Raw genomic sequence first — 21,327 nt, forward strand, 5'->3', positions numbered from 1 at the left:
CCTGTGTAGCTGGGACTACAGGTGTGTGCCACCTGCCCAGCTTCCAGGTCCTTTTTAATGAGTGCATGGTCCTCCATCATGCAGATGCGCCATAACTCCTGTGATGTGTCCTACTGACTGACCAGATTGTTTCCAGCTGTTCACTTTGTTGCTGCTACCTGGCGTCTTTTTTTTTTTTTTGGAGTCTCATTCTGTCACCCAGGCTGGAATGCAGCAGCACAGTCTTGACCCACTACAACCTCCATCTCCTGGGTTCAAGAGATTCTCCTGCCACAGCTTCCCAAGTAGCTGGGATTATAGGCACCCACCACCACGCCCTGGATATTTTTTTTTTTTTTTTTTTTAGATGGAGTCTTGCTCTGTCGCCCAGGCTGGAGTGCAGTGGTGCAATCTCAGCGCGCTGCAACCTCCACCTCCCGGATTCGAGCAATTCTCCTGCCTCAGCCTCCTGAGTAGCTGGGATTACAGCATGCACCACCACGCCCAGCTAACTTTTGTATTTTTAGTAGAGACAGGGTTTCACCATGTTGGTCAGGCTGGTCTCGAACTCCTGACCTCAAGCAATCCAGCTGCCTCAGCCTCCCAGAGTGCTGGGATGACAGACGTGAGCCCCCACGCCCAGCCTGCTACCTGGGGTTCTTTCATGAGTGTCCCTGCCCGTACCCTTTAGCCCACGTGGGTGTGCGTATCTGTCAGAACTGCATGTGAATGAATGGCTGGCCCAATGACTTGGCCTCTCATCCCTCACGTTCTCAGTTTGTGGATGACAACAGTCAGAGCGCTGGCTTCACGGGGTGAGGATGAATGAAGTCCTACCGTAGTGCCTGGTACACGGGAACCCCCATCAGTGTTAGCTGGGGAGGGGAAAAGCAGCTGGAATGGGGAGGGGGAGAATAAGGGGCCTGTGCAGCCAGGGGAGGCTGGTCAGCCCCCTCCTCAAGGCCACCAAGGAGAGATCACAGGGGCCTCAGCCCAAGAAGTCCCCGGCTCTTGCAGTTGGGACCAGCCAGTGTGGCTGCCACCAGGAGGGGAAGCAGGGGACAGGGAGCGGGCGGCAGCTGCATCACAGCCAGAGTGAGGAGCAGGCCAAGCAGGGGACAGGGAGCGGGCGGCAGCTGCATCACAGCCAGAGTGAGGAGCAGGCCCGGCTTCCCTGCTGAGTCATCCCCGCTGGAGTGAGAAAGGGAGGGAGTGAAGGAGTGAGAGAGGGAGGGAGGGTGTGCGCCAGCACCGCACATCACACACACGCACACATGCGTGCACACATCACACACACACATCACATATCACACACACATCACACATCACACACACATCACACACACATGCACACACACATCACATACATCACATATATCACACACGCACACTTACACCACACATACACACTCACACATGCTCACATGCTCACACACCTCCTGATTTAGGGAAAAGGAGCCCCTCCCAGCAGAAAGAGGCTTTGTTCCCCACAAGATGTGAAAGCCGTGGAGACAAAGGAGAGGCGGCACTCTCTCCTTTGAGGCTGTTCCCAGCTGCGGTCTCTCCAGCCTTGCTCTGTCCTCACCCCATGCCGACCAATCTTCTCCTCTGTCAGCCCGAATCCTGCTGCCAGGGTGACCAACCCTCCTGGATGGCCCAGGACTGAGGGCTTTCCCCAAATGACACGAGGACGAGTTGGGCACCCTGTCTGCCCCTCTCCAACTCCACCCTCACCTTCACCACCCTGCTGGCACCAGATCCCTGCAAATCACCCCCACCTGGCTTCTCCAGGGAGGCACAAAAGCTTTCCTGGCTCTGCAGTGATGTTTTGATGCAACAGACATTTATGAGACTGGTTCCTGAGCTGCACAGAACAGGCATGAGTGAGGCTGCGTGCCACTGGATAGGGGCTGCCCATCACTGGCAGGGGTCCAGAGGAGATGGAGACTCAGGGGGCAGGCTGGAGGGAGGGTAGCACATCTCCCTTCATTAAAAGCCACTTTTTGTCTTAGTACAAAATCCCAACACCCAATTGGTGCCTAACGCCCTGCTCTAATTCCTTCTGAATGTATTTCTATTCACATGGAACTGGCTTTGGAAAAGTCTGAATTTAACAGGATTCAAACAGGAAATATTTTTGCTCTGTCTCTAATCACAGCCTTCGACCATGCTTTGCCAAATCTCCTTTTCTGACCCTGAACAATATTCCTGGCAGATTCCTAGCTTTCTGGTCACCTCCAGTTATTAAAAATCCAGGTTAGTCTAGTTCAATTTAAAAGTTCAGGCCAGAGGCGCGGTGGTTCATGTCTTTAATCCCACCACTTTGGGAGACCAAGGCGGGCGGATCACCTGAGATCAGGAGTTCAAGACCAGCCTAGCCAACATGGTGAAACCCCCATGTCTACTAAAAATAAAAATATTGGCCAGGCGCGGTGGCTCATGTCTGTAATCCCAGCACTTTGGGAGGCTGAGGCGGGCAAATAACAAGGTCAGGAGTTTGAGACCAGCCTAACCAATATGGTGAAACCTCGTCTCTACTAAAAATACAAAAAAAATTTAGCCGGGCACGGTGGCATGGGCCTGTAGTCCCAACTACTCGGGAGGCTGAGGCAGAAGACTCGCTTGAACCCGGAAGACAGAGGTTGCAGTGAGCCGAGATTGCGCCATTGCACTCCAGCCTGGGTGACAGAGTGAGACTCCATCTCAAAAATAGATAATTGAAAATAAATAAATAAATAAATAAATAAATAAATAAATAAATAAATAAAAATATTAGCTGAGCGTAGTGGCGCGCACCTGTAATCCCAGCTACTCAGGGGGCTGAGGCAAAAGAAATGCTTGAACCCGGGAGGCGGGGGTTGCGGTGAGCTGAGATTGCACCACTGCACTCCAACCTGGGTGACAGTGGGAGACTCTGTCTCAAAAAAAAAAAAAAAGTTAAGGCCAGGCGCGGTGGCTCACGCCTGTAATTCCAGCACTTTGGGAGGCCGAGGCCGGTGGATCACTTGAGCTCAAGAGTTTGAGACCAGCCTGGGCAACATGGTGAAACCCCATCTCTACAAAAAATACAAAAATTTACCAGGAGTAGTCGCATGCACCTGTAGTCCCAGCTACTGGCTGAGGTGGGAAGACTGCTTGAGCCCAGGAGGTCAAGGCTGCAGTGAGCCATGATTGTGCCACTATACTCCAGCCTAGGCAACAGAGTGAGACCCTGTCTCAAAAAAAATAAAATAAAATAAAAGTTAAATACCATGTTCAGCTAGGCACGGTGGCTCACACCTGTAAACCCAGCACTTTGGGAGCCCAAAGCAGAGGATTGCTTAAGGCCAAGAGTTTGAGACCAGCCTAGACAACATAGCGAGACTCTGTCTCTACAAAAAAAATCAAAATAAAACATTAGCCAGGTGTAGTGGTGTGTAGCCTGTAGTCCCAACTACTTGGTAGGCTGAAGCAGGAGGATTGCTTGAGCCCAGGAGTTCCAGGCTGCAGTGAGTTATGATTGCACCACTGCACTCCAGGCTGAGTGACAGGGCAAGACCCTATCTCTAAAAATAATTTTTAAAAATCATGTGCAATTATAGGACGACTGCCGCCGCCCCATGTCCATCAGCATCAAGCAAGGCTAGGAATGGGGGGCAGAGGTTTCTCTTCCTCCCCTCCCGCATGGAGTCCTTTCATTTCCAGGATTTGAGGTTGGTGTGTGATGGGTTGGGGGATGAGAGCTGGAGAGGAGCAGCCACAGATCTTGTTCTCTTGGCCACCACTGCCTGATAATCAATGCCTTCTGCCGCAGGCTTCCAAGTGGGGTATGTGGTTGAGTTGTCTAGGGAGAGGGTTACTCTGGCTAGATATCTTCCCTCTCAGCTCAACCTCCCAGAGGCCCACCAGTGAAATTCCTCCCCAGCCACCTCCCCAGTGTTTATGGGGCCCCCAGGAAACTGATGCACCCTTACCTGGCCGAACAGGGCATGCGGGCCCCTCCATTGCTGCTGGCTCTGTGTGGCTGCCTCTGTCCACTCTCCTTCCCATTCCTGCCCCCCTTGGGCCATGGGATGCCAGCCTCTTCCTTTACAGGCACCCCAGTTTCTGTGAGCAAGTCTCCAGGAGTTCACCCCTACTTCCAGAAAGCGGAGGGGGAAGCAGAGCCCCTACCCTCGGTTAGGAACAAGGGCAGTTTCAGGGGTGTGTGGTCTGTGCACTTCCATGAGGCCTCAGGTCAGAAGTGCTGGCGGTTGGTCCAATGCTCTTCTGTCTTGAAGTCTCTTAATTTTTAAATTAGGGGCAACTTGTTTTCATTTTACACTGGGCTCCAAAAATTATTTAGGCGGTCTTGACTGTTCTCATCCGCTTATAGAAAGGAGGAGGGTTTCTGGCAATGGTGGGAGTGGAGAGCTGGTTCTGGAGGCTGTTGAAGCCCCAGGAGGTACACAGTGGTTTTCACCTCTCTTTAGAGTGGAAGATGCTCCACACACATTATCCCGCTTTGGGTTCCAGTCATCAGCTTCCAGGCAATAGGATCGAAATGCATCAGCATCCTCCTGCAAATACAAACATCCCTCAACATCTAAACACTCACTACCCCCAAATGGGAATCGAATAGATTCAGATCATCTGCTTTTGTTTTTTGCAACAATGAACTCGTGTTGCATTCATTGTTTTATAACTTCTTTTTTTTCACTTAACAATATGTTGTAAACATATCTTCATGCTGAAAATATTAATCTACAATCTAATATTCAGCATCTGTTTCAGGGATATACTGCCTTGTAACAAACCACCCAAGAAACCAATGGCTTAAATCAATGATGATTTATTGTTTCTCACTCTTCTATGGGTTGGCCAGGCAGTTCTGACCATCCACAAGAAATACAGCATCTTGAGAGAGAAAGACTGGGTTCCGGTCTTTGCCAAGCCTCTTCCTGCTCATGTGGTCTTGGCCAAGTTATTGAACCTCAGTTTCCTCATCTATAAAGCATTACAAATTATAATAATGATGTCTCCCTTACCTGTGATATTTTGAAGATTAATTGAGAACTATAATAATAGTATATACCTGTATCTATCTATCCATGTAGATAGATACACGTGTTAATGTGTGTGAGGTATAACAAATATTAGAGATTGCTGTTACTGTTGTTGTTGTTTGGAATGCCTTGGCAAGGGCTAGGCTAGTAAGGAAGTTGCTGGGGCAAGGGGATAGCTGGCTTTCCAGCTCATCACAATGTGAGGCATCAGAGAGAGGGAGGATCCCTGCTCAGGATAGAAAGATCTGAAAGGAAACAATGGACAGAGCTGAGAATATTAAGCATTGCTCAGCCAAAAGGGTACTGAAGGCGAGGAAAAATCATCTCACTGTAGCCTAAAGGCACTTAGTAGTTAGCTATATTTTCCTACAACTAATAATATGCTGGCAATAAAGTCAGGATAATATATGCTCAAAAGCGGGTAGTGCCAGCTTAGAGGCATCAGACTTAACAAATGACCATGGGCGTCCACAGCCTCTGTTCCTGCCCACTCCACCAAGAGCCCCTTAGGCTGTTCCAGGATACAGAGGAGCATGCAAGGACCAAGGGAGCATCTTGGAAGGACAGGAGAAGCGGTATCAAGGAGCCCAAGTCTAGACCCTGATGATTTCCTGATATCTTGTTTCAATTCCCAAACATCCTATATTTCAGTTCTTTCATTTTCACTTTCAGAGATTCCAACATGTAGAGATTCATGTCTTTGTGTCTTTTGAAAAATGAAATATTTAAAACAAACAAAAAAATATAAAAAATAACCCATCAAAAATCCATGCTCCTATGGCTCAAGGTTGTAAAAATAAAAATAAAAATAAAATCCATGCTCTTGCCACCAGCATAAGAAAGAAAACAGTAAATTATCTTTGATGTACTTCCTAATCCCCTCCTCCTACCTTCCCTCAAGAGGCAACCACTCTCCTGAACCCTGGCATTGACTATGCATGGGCACTCTTTTTAATTTTTTAAATATATAAATAAATCTGATAGGAAAATTGAATTGCTTTACAGCGATTTGAGTCCCTGTGAAGGGCTTTTGGGTACTCTGCCAGGGTGTAGATGACGTCTGAAGAGGCTACAAGGGAACCAGAGAGAAAAAAGCCTGATGAAAGGAACAGAGCCTACATGATCGGTGACAATATCAACTGGAATAACATACATGTAATTAGACTTGGGGGGCATGAACTTTTTTTTTTAATAATGGCTAAATTGTTTTAATCCAAAATAATCTAGGAATTATTAGAATTACTAAGAATTAATAAGAGAGTTTAGCAAAGTTGCTGAATTAAACAATCAATATATAAAAATCAACCAGCCTGGGCAACATAGCAAGACCCAGTCTCTACAAAAAAATACAAAAAAATTAGCTGGACAAGGTGGTATGCACCCGTTGTCCCAGCTGCTTGGGAGGCTGAGGTGGGAGGATCTCTTGAGCCTGGGAAGTTGAGGCTACAGTGAGCCAAGATCACACCACTGTACTCCAGACTGGGCGATGGGAGTGAGACCCTGTCTCAAATAAATAAATAAAATAAATTAATAAAAATAAAAATCAATTACACCCTATATAGCAGCAACAAATAATTTGAAAATGAAAAAAATTCAATGTATAATTTATATAATATAAACGTATTAGAATTTGGAAATATATTTTTTAAGGGCTATGCGAGACCTTCATAGAAAAAATTATAAAACTTTACCATATTCTTGGTATGCCAATACACCATATTCTTGGACCTGAAGATTTAATAATTTAAGGATATCAATTCACCCCAAATTATTTATAGATTTAATCCAATCTGAGCCAAGATATCATCAGGTTTGTTTTTAGAACTGGGCAAGCTGATTCTAAATGCAAAGAGCTAAAAAAGGACAAGATATTCTAGAAGTTGAACAAGGTAGGAGAACTTGCTCTCTCAGATTTTAAGTTTACAGTAAACTTACAGTAATGGTGGTTTCAGGCATAGACAAATAGGCCGGAAGATCGGAGAGCCCAGAAACAGACCCCACTTATTCAGACAGTTGACTTATAACAGAGGTGGCGCTGCAGAGAGGTCAGGAAAGATAGTATTTTCAATAAATGATGATGAAGGTCCACAGGTAAAAATTGAAATTGATTCCCTATCGCCCATATACACAGAAATCCACTCCAGTTGTACTTTTTTGTTGTTGTTGTTTGTTAAGACAGAATTAACATAAAATTCACCATTTAAGCCACTTTTTTTTTTTTTTTTTTTTGAGACGGCGTCTTGCTCTTGTCACCCAGGCTGAAGTGCAATGGCACGATCTCGGCTCACTGCAACCTTTGTCTCCCGGATTCAAGCGATTCTCCTGCCTCAGCCTCCCGAGTAGCTGGCATTACAGGTGTGTGCCACCACACCCGGCTAATTTTTTTGCATTTTAGTAGAGACGGGGTTTCGCCATATTGACCAGGCTGGTCTCAAACTCCTGGCCTCAGGAGGTCTGCCCGCCTCGGCCTCCCAAAGTGCTGGGATTACAGGCGTGAGCCACTGCGCCTGGCCTTAAACCACTTAAAGAGTCTTTTGAAGCATAAAAAAAAAAAAAGAAGAAGAAATGTCATTCCCACTTCCCACTTCCAACCTATTACTCCTGAATCCCCAGAAACAGCTTCTTTAAGTGCTCAGTTGTTTTATCTGGTACTTATCTGCATATTTCTAGAGACAATACCATATTTATGCTGCTATTTCTCTATATATCCATTTCTAGATATTACTTTTCTATACCCTATTATAATCAATTATGATTTAGCTCTCTTATACCACCAGTAGTAATACATCACAACTTCTGTTCCATATTTCCAAAAAAAAAAATGCAATTCAGTGTTTTTTGTGTGTGTACTCACAGAGTTGTGCAACCATCACCAGTAATTACGGAAAGCTTTCATCACCCCAAAAAGAAAACCCTACAGCCATGAAGCAGTCAGTTCAGTGCCCCCTTCACTATCACCACCACCATGACCACCACCCAACACTTCAGCTCCTGCCAGTGAACAACCTACTTTCTATCTCTGTGGATTTACCTATTCTGGACATTTGTATAGACAGAATCATACAATATGGGGCCTGTTGTATCTGGCCTCTTTCACTCAGAATAATATTTTCAAGATTCATCCATGTTGTAGAACATATCAGTACTTCGTTCCTTTTTATGGCTGAATAATAGTTCATTGTATATCACATTTTATTTATTCATTTGTTGATAGACATTTGGGTTGTTTCCACTTTTCGGCTGTTATGAATAACGTTGCTGTGAACATTCATGTACACATTTTGTTTGAACATGTTTTCAATTTTCTTGCATATATATCTAGGAGTGAAATTGCTGGGACATATGTATTTCCATATTTAACTCTTTGGAGAACCACGAAACTATTTTCTACAGTGGCTGCACCATTTTACATTCCTATCAGCAATGTATGAAGGTTTCAATTTCTTTACATCCTCACCAACGCCTGTTATTTTCCATTTTGTGTCCATCCTAGAGGGTGTGAAGTGGCATCTCATTGTGGTTTTGATTTCTGTTTCCCTAATAACTAATGATGTTGAGCATCTCTTCATGTGCTTATTAGCCACTTATATATCTTCTTTGGGAAAACGTCTATTCAAGTCCTTTGCTTGTTGTTAAAAATTAGGTTGTCTTTTTATTGCTGAATTGTAAGAGTTTAAAAACAATATATTCTGGATACGGCCGGGCACAGTGGCTTATGCCTGTAATCCCAGCACTTTGAGAGGCTGAGGCGGGTGGATCACGAGGTCAGGAGATCAAGACCATCCTGGCTAACACGGTGAAACCCCGTCTCTACTAAAAATACAAAAAATTAGCCGGGCGTGGTGGTGGGCGCCTGTAGTCCCAGCTACTTGGGAGGCTGAGGCAGGAGAATGGCATGACCTCGGGAGGTGGAGCTTGCAGTGAGCCAAGATGGTGCCACTGCACTCCAGCCTGGGCGACAGAGCAAGACTCTATCTCAAAAAAGAAAAGAAAAAAAGAAAAAAGAAAAAAAATATATATATATATATTTTTTTTTTCTGGATACTAGTCCCATATCTAATATGTGTTTTGCAAATATTTTATTCCATTCTGTGGGTTGTCTCTCCTGAGAGTGTCCTTTGATACAAAAAAGTTTTAAATTTTGATGAAATTCAATTTTTCTTTCATTTCCTGTACTTCTGGTGTCATATTTAAGAAAACGTCTAATTCAAAGTCACAAAGATTTACACCTATGTTTCCGTCTAAAAGTCTCAGGGTTTTAGGTCTCTTATATTTAGGACTCTGATATGCCCTGAGTTAATTTTTTGATATGGTAAAAAGTAGGGTATCCAAATTAATTCTTTTGCATATAAATATTGAATTATTTCAGGACTGTTTGTTGAGAAGACCATTCTTTCCACCATCAAGTGGTCTTGTCACCTTTGTTGAAAACTAACTGACCATAGATGTATGGGTTTATTTCTGGGTTCTCAATTCTATTTCATATAGAAATGGAATTGAGATTATACCAGTACCACATTGTTTCAATTACTGAAGCTTTGTGGTAAATTTTGAAATTGAGAAATGTCAGTCCTTCAACGCTGGTTTTTTTTTTTTCAAGACTGTGATCGGCATTCAGGTGTCTTGTAATTCCATAAAATTTTAGAATTAGCTTGTCTATATCTACAAACAAGTCAGCTGTAATTCTGATAGAGATTGCACTGAATCTGTAGATCATTTTGAGGAGTATTGTTATCTTAAAAATATTAAGATTCAGCCTGGGAAACATGGTGAAACCCCATCTCTACAAAAAATACAAAAATTAGCCAGGTGTGGTGGTCCCAGCTACTTGGGAGGCTGAGGTAGGAAGATCACTTGCACTCAGGAGGTTGAGGCTGAAGTGAGACATGACCAAGCCATTGCACGCCAACTTAGGCAATAGAGAGAGACCTTGTCTCAAAAAAAAAAAAAAAAAGTCTTCCAGTTCATGAATGTGGGATGTCTTTTATTTATTTTGGTTAAAAATTTTTTTTTAACAGTAGTTTTCAGTGTACAAATCTTTTTTTTTTTTTTTTGAGACAGAGTCTCGCTCTTGTTGCCCAGGCTGGAGTGCAGTGGCGCAATCTTGGCTCACTGCAACCTCTGTCTCCTGGGTTCAAGCAATTCTCTTGCCTCAGCCTCCTGAGTAGCTGACCTCAGGTGATCCTCCCTCCTTGGCCTCCCAAAGTGCCAGGATTACAGGCGTGAGCCACCACGCCTGGCCTCAGTGTACAAATCTTATACTTACTTGGTAAAATTTATTCCCAATTATTTTATGTTTTTCAGTGCTACTATTAATGAAATTCTTAATTTTATTTTTAGATTTTTCATTGCTAGTGTATGGAATTACAACTGATTCTTGTACACTAAAACTTCACTAAACTTGTTTATTAGCTCTAATAGTCTTTTCTTGTAGATTCTTTAAGGGTTTCTATATAAACGAGTATGTGATCTGCAAATAGAGATAGTTTTACTTTTTCCTTTCCAATCTGATTATCTTTTATTTATTTATTGACTAATTGCCCTAGATAGAATTGCCAATGCGTTGTTGAACAGAAGTGGCAAGAGCTGACATGCTTATCCTGTTCCTGATTGTAGGGGGAAGGCTTTCAATCTTTTATTATTAAGTATGATGTGAGCTGTGGGTTTTTCATAGATGCCTGTTTTCGACTGAACTGTATCCCTCCCAAATTCATGTATTGAGGCTCTAACCCACAATGTGATTATATTTGGAGACAGGACCTAAAGGTTAAATGAGATCATAAAGAGAGGGCCTTGGTCTGGCTCAGCAGCTCACTCCCACAATCCCAGCACTTTGGGATGCCAAGGTGGGCAGATCACCTGAGGTCAGGAGTTCAAGACCAGCCTGGCCAACATGTGAAACCCCGTCTCTATTAAAAATACAAAAAATTAGCTGGGCATGGTGGTATGCGCCTGTAGTTCCAGCTACTTAGGAGGCTGAGGCATGAGAATCCCTTGAACCCACAAGGCAGAGGTTGCAGTGAGCCAAGGCCACACTACTGCACGCTAGCCTGGGTGACCGAGTGAGACTCCATCTCAAAAAAAAAAAAAAAAAAAAAAACAGGATCTTAATTGGATAGAACTGACATCTTTATAAGAAGAGGAAGAGAACCACCTGTGGTGGCTCGTTCTTGTAATCCCAGCACTTTGAGTGTCGTTGTTGAGTGGAGTGCTCCATAAATATCTGCTAGGTCTAGTTTGTTTATAGTACTCTTCAAGTCTTCTATATCTTTGATGATCTTTTTTATTTTTTCTTTTTCTTTTTGAGATGGAGCTTTTACTCTTGTTGCCCAGGCTGATGTGCAATGGCACAATCTCATCTCACTACAACCTCCACTTCCCAGGTTCAAGTGATTCTCCTGCCTCAGCCTCCCAAGTAGCTGGGATTGCAGGCACCCGCCACACTCCTGGCTAATTTTTGTGTTTTTAGTAGAGACAGGGTTTCACCATGTTAGCTAGGCTGGTCTTGAACTCCTGACCTCAGGTGATCTGCCTGCCTCGGCCTCCCAAAGTGCTGAGATTACAGGTGTGAGCCACCACGCCTTGCCTCCTTGATGATCTTCTGTATAGTTGTTCTATTATTTAAAGTGGAATATTAAAATCTGCAACTGTTATTGTTTGTCTATTTCTGTCTTTAATTATCTCAGGTTTTGCTTCATGTATTTTGGGGTTCTGTTGCTGGGTGCATATATCTTTATAATTGTTATGTTTTCTTGATGAAATATCCCTGTTATCATTATATAATGTCATTCATTGTCTCTTGTAACAATTTTTGTCTTAAAGTCTATTGCTTCCAATATTAGTATAGCCACCCCCACTGCCTTTGGTTACTGTTTTCATGGTATACTTTTTTCCACCCTGTCATTTTCAGCCTATTTGTATCTTTGAATGTAAAGTGAGTCACCTGTAGATAGCACATAGTTACATCATTTTTAAACACTCATCTGCTATTATCTGCCTTTTGATTGGAAAGTTTAATTCATTTACATTTAAAGTAATTGAGGAAGGACTTACTTCTGCTGTTTTGCTATTTGTTTTCAGTGTTTCATACCATTTTTGTTCCTTATTTCCTTCATTACTGCCTTCTTCTGTGTTAAAGATATTTTTTTTTATTTTATTTCAGTTTATTTGAGACAAGGTCTTTCTCTGTCACCCAGGCTAGAGTGCAGTGGCACAATCTTGGCTCACTGACACCTCCACCTCCCAGGCTCAAGTGATCCTCCTGCTTCAACCTCCCAAGTAGTTGAGACTACAGGCGCACACCACTGTGCCAGCTTAATTTTTGTATTTTTGTAGAGATGGGATTTTGCCATATTGCCTATGCAGGTCTTGAATTCCTGGGCTCAAATGATTCACCCACCTCAGCCTCCCAAAGTATTGGGATTACAGGCGCGAGCCACCATGACTGGCTGATATTTTTTAATATACTATTTAATTTCCTCATCTTTTCTTTTACTATATATTTTTAGTTATTTTCATAGTGGTTGCCCTGAGGATTAAAATTAATGTTTAATTTATAACAATCTAGTTTAGATTAATACTGTTTCAGTATAAGAACTTTGCTACTATATAGTTCTACCCCCATCTTTATGTTGCTTTTGTCACAAATTCCATCTTTACACATTTGTGTCTATCATAGATATATATCAGTAATTTTTATTTATATAGTTGCCTTTTAAATAATATGGGAAAAAAGAACAGATACAGACTAAAAATACATTAATATTGACTTTTATATTTACCTTTACCAGTGTTCTCTATTTCTTCATGTGAAATCAAATTGCTGCCTACTGTCCTTTCATTTCAGCATGAGAGACTCCCTTTAGCATTTCTCGTAGGGCATTAGTGACAAACTCTTTTTTTATTTGGAAATTTCTTAATTTCTATTTCATTCCAGAGGGATAGTTTTGCTTGATATAGCATTCTTGGCTGACAGCTGTTTTTCTTTCAGTCCTTTTAATGTTCTATCCCATTGCTTCCTTACCTCCATGGTTTCTAATGATAAATAAGCTGTTAATCTTATTAAGCATTACTTCTACGTGATAAGCTGCTTCTCTTTTGCTGCTTTCAAGATTCTATCTTTGTCTTTATCTTTGAACAGTTTAATTATAACGTGTCTCAGTGTGGACCTCTTTGAGTTTATCCTACTTGGAGTTTCTTAGATGTATAGACTAATGTTTTCCATCAAATTTGGAAAGTTTTTGCCCATTATTTCTCTCAAGTATTCTTCCTATTAGACCCCACTACCTCCTCTGGCACTCCCATTATGCATATGTTGTGGTATACTTGGTGATGTCTTTTAAAGTCTGCTCATTATTCTATGTCTTTCTTTTTTATGCTCCTCTGACTGAGTAATCTCAATGACTTATCTTCAAGTTCACTGATTCTTCTGCCTGCTCAAATCTGCTGTTGAGTCTCTCTAATAAATTTTTCCTTTCAGTTATTCTTTTAAGCACTAGAATTTATATTTGGCTCTTTTTTATAAGTTTGGTCTTTTTATTGATATTCTCTATATGTGAGACATCATTCTCATGGTTTTCTTTAGTTCTTTGTACATGGTTTCCTTTAGTTTTTTGAGCATATTTTAAATGGTTGAATTAAAGTCTCTTAAAAGTAAGCCCAATGTCTGGGCTTCTTCAGGAATAATTTCTATCAATTGTCATTTTTCTTGTGTAGGGGCCATACTTCCTTGTGTTTTTTCCATGCCTTGTAATTTTTTGTAGAAAACCGGACATTTCAAATATTATAATTTGGCAACTCTGGAAATCAGATTTCCCTAGGGTTTGTTGTTCCTGCCTGTTGTAGTTGTTGCTGTTTGTTTGTTTAGTGCCTTTTCTGAACTAATTTTGAGAACTCTTTGTGTGTGTGTGTGTGTGTGTGTGTGTGTGTGTGTGTGTGTATGGCCACAGAAGTCTCTTCCATTAGCTTCACAATCAGCTAGTGATTGGACAGAGATTTCCTTAAACACCTGGGACAAAAAACAGTAAAATTGCCCTGTCTTTATAGATAAGCCTGTGTATGTGTATTGGGACATGCCTTCAGAGTTCAGTTAGGCAGTTTATAACTCTGCCTTAGTCTTCAATTTCTTCTTGCTTAGAGACTGAAGGTCATGCAGAGGTGAGAGCTTAGGGCTTTCTCAGGTTTTTCTTGAGCATGTGCTTATCCTCTAGATTCCCAGGAATATGTCAGGGCTTTTCAAAATCCTTATTTTGAATAGAATCTCACAAAGTGCGAGAGGAGACATCTTCCTGGAAAGGGATTCTGGATGAACAAATAACATTTAGAGGCTTTTAATAGATTACCTGGCTCATAATCTGTGAGTGAACTGAAGGAGAATGACTGACCCCTCAGAAGCAGCTGCCACATTACAGTGATACTGACCAAAGTAGTAAAGAAGTAAGGAAGCAAGTCTGAAGAAGGGAAGAGGGAGTTTTCCTAGTACTACTTCCATACCATGTGTTTTTTATGGGGCTGGAGTATGAAAAGGAAGGTTGCAGAATGAGGTGTATCAAAACCATCTGGAACCAACTTGTCCCCATTCCAGGGAACCCTCACCCACAGCTCCAACCTGCTCAGGCAGTAACCAAGATGGAAAAAAATTTTTTTTAACATTCGGCCCCTTTCTTTATTGTAATAGTTTATCTGGAAGTACACAAAAATTAATAAATTGCTTTTACTATGCAATTCTGAAATATCAGGTCTACTGCCGTCAATAAAAAAAATTAGTAACTACTTTTATGACATTAAGGTCAAGTCATCATTTGTAGACAGAATCAATTGAGACTCTTTGGCACTTACGACTAATCCATTGTAAACAATTATCAATCTTAAAAACACAGCTCCAGTAAACGTGTAATTATACTGGGTACAGATAAGGAAGTACAAGGCCGGTATGATCGCTTATGCCTGTAATCATAGCACTTTGGGAGGCCGAGGCAGGTGGATCATATGAGGCCAGGAGTTCAAGACCAGCCTAACCCACATGGCAAAACCCTGTCTCTACTAAAAATACAAAAAGAAATTAGCCAGCCATGGTGGTGCTTGCCTGTAATCCCAGCTTCTCAGGAGGCTGAGGCATGAGAATCAGAGAATCACCTGAACCCAGGAGACAGTGGTTGCAGTGAGCCAAGACCATGCTACTGCACTCTAGCCTAGGTGACACAGTGAGTGAGAATCTGTCTCAAAAAGAAAGGAAGTACAAGAAGCTCACTGGCTATGCTAAACCAAATAAATGAAAAGCAGCAAAACTGATTTTTTTTTTTTTTTTTTTTGAGACAGAGTCTTTGTCACCCAGGCTGGAGTGCAATGGTGCGATCTCAGCTTATTGCAACCTCCACCTCCCGGGTTCAAGCCATTCTCCTGCCTCAGCTTCCCTGGTAGCTGAGACTACAGGCATGCGCCACCATGCCCAGCTGCTGGGGTTTCACCATGCCAGCCACGCTGGTCTCGAACTCCTGAGATCAAGTGATCCACCCACCTTGGCTTCCCAAAGTGCTGGGATTACAGACATGAGCCACCGCGACTGGCTGCAAAACTGATTTTATACTGTGGGTTTATACAAATAAATAAACAAAATCCTTTCCTTTTTTTCTATATTTTTTCTTACATTTCTTATAAAAATAACAGAATGCTTCATTTTATTCACTTCAATGGGACAAAGTCCTTAGAGAAAGATTGAAAAGAGCTGATAATCAAACTCCCAAATTTTATGCTTATTTCTTTTCTAGTGCTCTCAATTTTCTGACATTTAACACAGGCAGGAAAACGTTCTCGGTAAATTGAGCATTTGAGTCTATAAATGTCTTCAAGCACTCTGGCAAGTTACATATATCCCATTGCTTTTGGTTGCCCATCTCTTCTTTGCTTCAAACCCCCATGCGAGTTTCTTCTTTTTTCAGGCAGCCCTGTGAATTTTTAGTCTCCATTTTTGGCTTTTACAAACTTGTGGCAGACAACTGCTTTGGCAATTTTTACACCAAGCTCTCGAGTAGCTAGCTAGTTGCTGAGTTCTTCAGCCCTCTCAATATTCCACTCCTCCACAGCCTGCTCTATCCTCTTTTCGAGGCCTTCTCAGTGGTTTTCCTTTTAACAGGGGGGTCAAACCTATCATTGACTCCAACATACTGAGTAAGCTCCTTCCACTGGGCTGCATTTGAGGACTGTTCAATTCCACATATCTAAGGGAATTCCAGAAGGACTCTCTTCTTAGGCATTTACATTTGACTCTGCTTCACTTTTTGCTTCATCTTTTGAGAAATCTATGATTTCTGCTTTTCTGTTGCTCCCATCCTCTTTATCTTCCTGTAAGTTAAGCCCAGAGCTCTCCAATGTAGCTTCATCTTCAGAGTTTGACTCAACATCACTTTCATTTAGGCCAGGAGGTACTAGCCCACTCAACATCTTTTCTTCTGTCAGGATGCAGCCGCCCGGCAGCCATCTTAAGACCCTGTCAACCAAAAAATTTTTTAAGAAATAATTTTTGTGTGAAATCATTGTTGTGTATTATTTCAGTGTATTATTTCAGGGCTTTGTATAAAATAATGTGGACATTTTACTTCTATTTCTATGCTCTGGAACAGTTTAAAATGATTGAGTTCTTGCTTGACCATCTTTTTCTTTTTCCTTTCTTTCTTTTCTTTTCTTTTTTTTTTTTTTTTTTTTTTTTTTTTTTTTTTTTTTTTGAGACAGGGTCTCAGTCGCCCAGGCTGGAGTGCAGAGGTGTGATTTTGGCTCACTGCAACCTCTGCCTCCCAGGCTCAAGCAATCCTCTCATCTCAGCTTCCAGAGTAGCTAGGGCTGCAGGTGCATGCCACCATGCCCAGCTAATTTTCGTATTTTCTAACAGATGGAATCGCACTATGTTGCCCAGGCTGATCTCAAACTCCTAGATTCAAACAATCTGCTGGCCTCAGCCTCTCAAAGTGCTGGGATTATAGGAGTGAGCCACCGCACCTGGCCTATATTTTTCAATTAATTAATTTTGGAGGAGACAAAAAACATTCAAATCATAGCACTCACTATTAAAAAACTGGAAATAAAAACAAATGCCAAACAAACCAGGAAGGATTAATTTATGGCACAGTCAAACAATAGAGTAATGAAAATGAATAAACTCCAACTGCATACCACAGTGTGGATGAATCTTAAAAACACAATGTTGAGGCCAGGCATGGTGACTCATGCCTGTAATCCCAGCATTGTGGGAGGTGAGGCAGGCAGATCACCTAAGGTCAGGAGTTTGAGACCAGCCTGGCCAACATGGTGAAGCCCCATCTCTGCTAAAAATACAAAAATTAACTGGGCGTGGTGGCGCACGCCTGTAATCCCAGCTACCCGGCAGGCTGAGGCAGGAGAATCGCTTGAACCTGGGAGGCAGAGGTTGCAGTGAGCCTAGATTGTGCCATTGCATTCCAGCCTGGGCGACAAGAGTGAAACTCCATCTCAAAAAAACAAAACAAAAAACCAATGTTGAGTTTTAACAGCCCAACATGAAAGTATATTTATACTCCAATTCTCTTAATGTACACTCAAAATACAGACCAAACCAAACCATATTGATTAGGAATGAATAATCAGGTGGTAAAAGTACAAAGCAATGCAAGGAAAGACTGAAGTCAGGATAGGGCTATCTCTGTGCAGGGAAGGGACTGAAAGAGAAAGGGGTGGATTGGGAAACGATACAGGGAAACTTCTGGTGATAATGTTCTATTTATCGACTTAAACAGTGTCGCTACACAAGACTTTGCTTTATGATTATTCATTATCGTGCTCACTTGCGTATGGTATATGCTTCTCTGTATATGTATTATATTTCACAAAGTTAATAAAGCTTATACAACAAAGAAAAGGTTCATTACTGAAAACAGACACCAACTCCCAGGGGAAGGAGTACAACGGAGCTGATTTCAAGAGCCTGGACATGAGGCCCTGAAGAGGAGATCTTCACTTTCTGGCCCAGAAGAAACCCATATTTCTGCCTCATGAGTATCATCTCGGGGAAGCAGGGGAGTTCTATAGCCTCAATAAAATATCAATGCAAGGACCCGTGCGTGTGTGTGTGTGTTTTTTTTTTTTTTTTTTTTTTGGAACAGAGTCTTGCTTTGTCGCCCAGGCTGGAGTGCAGTAGTACGGTCTTGGCTCACTGCAACCTCCGCCTTCCGGGTTCAAGCAATTCTCCTGCCTCAGCCTCCCGAGTAGCTGGGATTACAGGTGCCTGCCACTGTGCCCAGCCAATTTTTGTATTTTTAGTAGAGACGGGGTTTTGCCATCTTGGCCAGGCTGGCCTCGAACTCCTGACCTCGTGATTCACCTGCCTCGGCTTCCCAAAGTGCTGGGATTACAGGCGTGAGCCACCACACCTGGCCAACCCATTTATTCTTTAAGGATCTAATTCTGCAGGGCATCAGCCAGGCTCAAGATAGAACTGAGGTGAGGCTCTGCAGGCTTCAATCCCCAGATCTGTCTGAAAATGCTCAGTTGCGCTCAATCCTAGGTGAAGAAATGGTACCAGAATCCCAGAGTTCCAGCACAACACAGTGGTGTTTCTTTTGTGATGTCATCAACACCTGCTTCTGACCTCACCCGCCCAGAAGTTTCCAATATCATTCAGTGATAGTGGCGGTGGATAACAATGACCTCCTACCAGCTGTGAATTTCTCGTCTTCCACTAGTACTAGTAAAAGAGATTGCTGCTGGCTAAGAATACCCACCGGTGGGGTCTTGGTGAGTGGGGCCCAGTCTGAGGCCAGGGGTAAGAGAGGGCAGAGGGGCCAGGGTTGCCCCAGAAGAAGGGAAGCCTGGATTCTCTTCTGTGGCAGGGCTGAGTGATCATAGGGCCTGACTCCTCCACTGGGGAATGCCAGCTTCCAAGTAGAGACAGTGCTGTGTGTCTAGACCTAAGCCTGAAGTCTTCCTCTCTCTAGAAATCCACAACCCTGTGTCTGGTCAGGCAGAAGACACTGGAAAAATGGTTTTCCATTCCAATACATTTCCCCACTACTTTCTGCACAGGAAAACAAATTCACTTCTGTCTGGAAAGGCAGATTAGAGCATGTGATAGGAGCTGAGCTCCCAAAATGTATCCACTTTCTTAGAGAGTTTTTATTTGGCTCTTGGGATCAGGGATACCCTAGAGTATGTGGCTTGCCACTTAAAGTATAAATAGTGTCTTGGCTTTGCCTTGAAAATACTGTCCCTGTCAGTGGCATATGTTTATATTCTGGGTCTTGTAGTAAAATCTGTGGTCTGACTCCCATCATCTCCAACCCCATGGCCCCCTGCTTACCCTCTGCCTAGCAGCCTCACCCAGCACCAGGCCTTGGGGTCATAGGGACACTGGTGTGTGGCTTTCACTTCCTGCCTTTTCTCTCTCATTTTGATTTTTCCTGAACATCTCACCTGGGTACCACAGAAAACCCATGTACATTTGCGTAGGCTGTGCACAGTTGTGAGGTTTTTTTAATTGTTACTGTTGTTTTTGCAATTGCAAACAATTCTGCAATGAGCATTCTTGTGTGTGTAGGTCTTTGTGAGCTTGAGTGTTTATGATGGAAATTATTTCTAAATAGCAGAGACAAGTTCCCAGGGCCACCATAGGCTCAACAAAACTATGAGGGTTGGGTCCCTGCAGTTGTTCACTGGGCTGGTTTAAGATCTCAGACAATTTCACTGATCAATCAATACAGGCAGTCCAACTTACAACGACTCTACTTACAATTTTTTGACTTTAAAATGGTGCAAAAGCCATATGTATTCAGCAGAAATCATACTTCAAGTATCCATACAACCACTCTTTTTCATTTTCAGTATTCAATAAATAAAATCCTCTAACACAAAGCCCATTTTATAATAAAGTGTTGAAATATGCAACATTTTATTATACAATAGGCTTTGTGTTAGGTGATTTTGCCCAACTATAGGCTAATGTCAGTATTCTGAGCACATTTAAGGTAGGTTAAGCTATGATGTTTGGTAGATTAGGTGGTGTGTTAGTCCGTCCTCATGCTGCTGATAAAGACATACCTGAGACTCGATAATTTATAAAGAAAAGAGGTTTAATTGACTCAGTTCCACATGGCTGGGGAGGCTTCAGGAAACTTACAATCACGATGGAAGGGGAAGCAAACCCATCTTTCTTCACATGACAGCAGGAAGAGAAGTGCTGAGCAAAAGGGGAAAAGCCCCTCCTGAGTAGTTGGGATTACAGGCGCCCGCCACCACACCTGGGTAATTTTTTGTATTTTTAGCAGAGACAGGGTTTCACCATGTTAGCCAGGAGGGTCTCGATCTCCTGACCTCGTGATCCACCCGCCCCGGTCTCCCAAAATGCTGGGATTATAGGCGTGAGTCACTGCGCCCGGCCTTTTTTTTTTTTTTTTTTTTTTTAATCGTTGTTCTCTCTTCTCTTGCTCTTGACTTTTGCCCTTTTCACTGTGCTTGCTTTCTTATTAGTCCTTTCCCCTTCTAACATGCTCCTGCTCATCTGCTGTGGTTTTGAAAATCAGGAAAGTGGCTTCTCCTTTAGGCTATTGGTTCAGCTGCTGCAACAGAGACCAGACAATAGTGACTTTACAAGGTTATTGCTCTCCCGTGAGAAAAATGCAAGGTGGTCAACATTGTAGGGCACTTCTCCAGGTCATCTTGTGACTCAAGTTCTTCCTGCCTTGATGCTTGACTGTCTCTAGGGAGTTGTCCTGGTCAGCATCATCAAAGCTGCCCTCCCCTCCACCCCATGTCCACATCCCAGTCTTCACAAAGAGGAAAGAGGAAGTAGAGAACAGCCAGCTTCCTTTTAAGTATGTGGCCCAGAAATTAAACCTATTACTTCCACTCATATCTCACTGGCTAGGACTTAGTTCATACTTCCACCTGGCTTCGAGGGGTTCTGGGATATGTGGTCTATAGTAGGAGAGCCATAAATCCAGGTTTTAATCTTGGGAGCTCTACTGCAAAAAGGAAGAGGGAAAGAAAAGGGGCTCTTAGCAGTCTCTGCCACACTGGATCTATTGAAATTTTGTGTGGAGTAAATAAAGGTGGGCACCAATTGAAGACACAAGGTGATCTGCAGAAAAAGCCCCTCCCCTCCCCTCCTCTTCCCTCACCTCCCCTCCCCTCCTCTTCCCTCCCCTCCTCTTCCCTCCCCTCCTCTTCCCTCCCCTCCTCTTCCTTCCCCTCCCCTCCTCTTCCCTCCCCTGCCCTCCCCTCCCCTCCTCTCCTCTCCTTTCTGATGTAGATCTCTCTATATTGCCCAGGCTGGTCTCAACCTCCTGGCCTCGAGAAATCCTCC

General features: G+C 42.9%; 1 pseudogene, besides 1 other annotated feature; it reads right to left on the reverse strand.

Annotated features, from left to right (window-relative positions):
- Positions 1,376 to 1,670: a silencer, noted in NCBI's record as "tiled region #385; HepG2 Repressive non-DNase unmatched - State 21:Repr, and K562 Repressive non-DNase unmatched - State 20:ReprD". NCBI's record gives its function as "represses a minimal TATA promoter and a strong SV40 promoter by Sharpr-MPRA in HepG2 and K562 cells {active_cell/tissue: HepG2 | K562}" and the evidence as "EXISTENCE:reporter gene assay evidence [ECO:0000049][PMID:27701403]".
- On the reverse strand, positions 15,667 to 16,496 carry FAM204DP (family with sequence similarity 204 member D, pseudogene; annotated as a pseudogene).

This window comes from Homo sapiens, chromosome 14 (assembly GCF_000001405.40).
Source record: "Homo sapiens chromosome 14, GRCh38.p14 Primary Assembly".
NCBI classification, from domain to species: domain Eukaryota; kingdom Metazoa; phylum Chordata; class Mammalia; order Primates; family Hominidae; genus Homo; species Homo sapiens.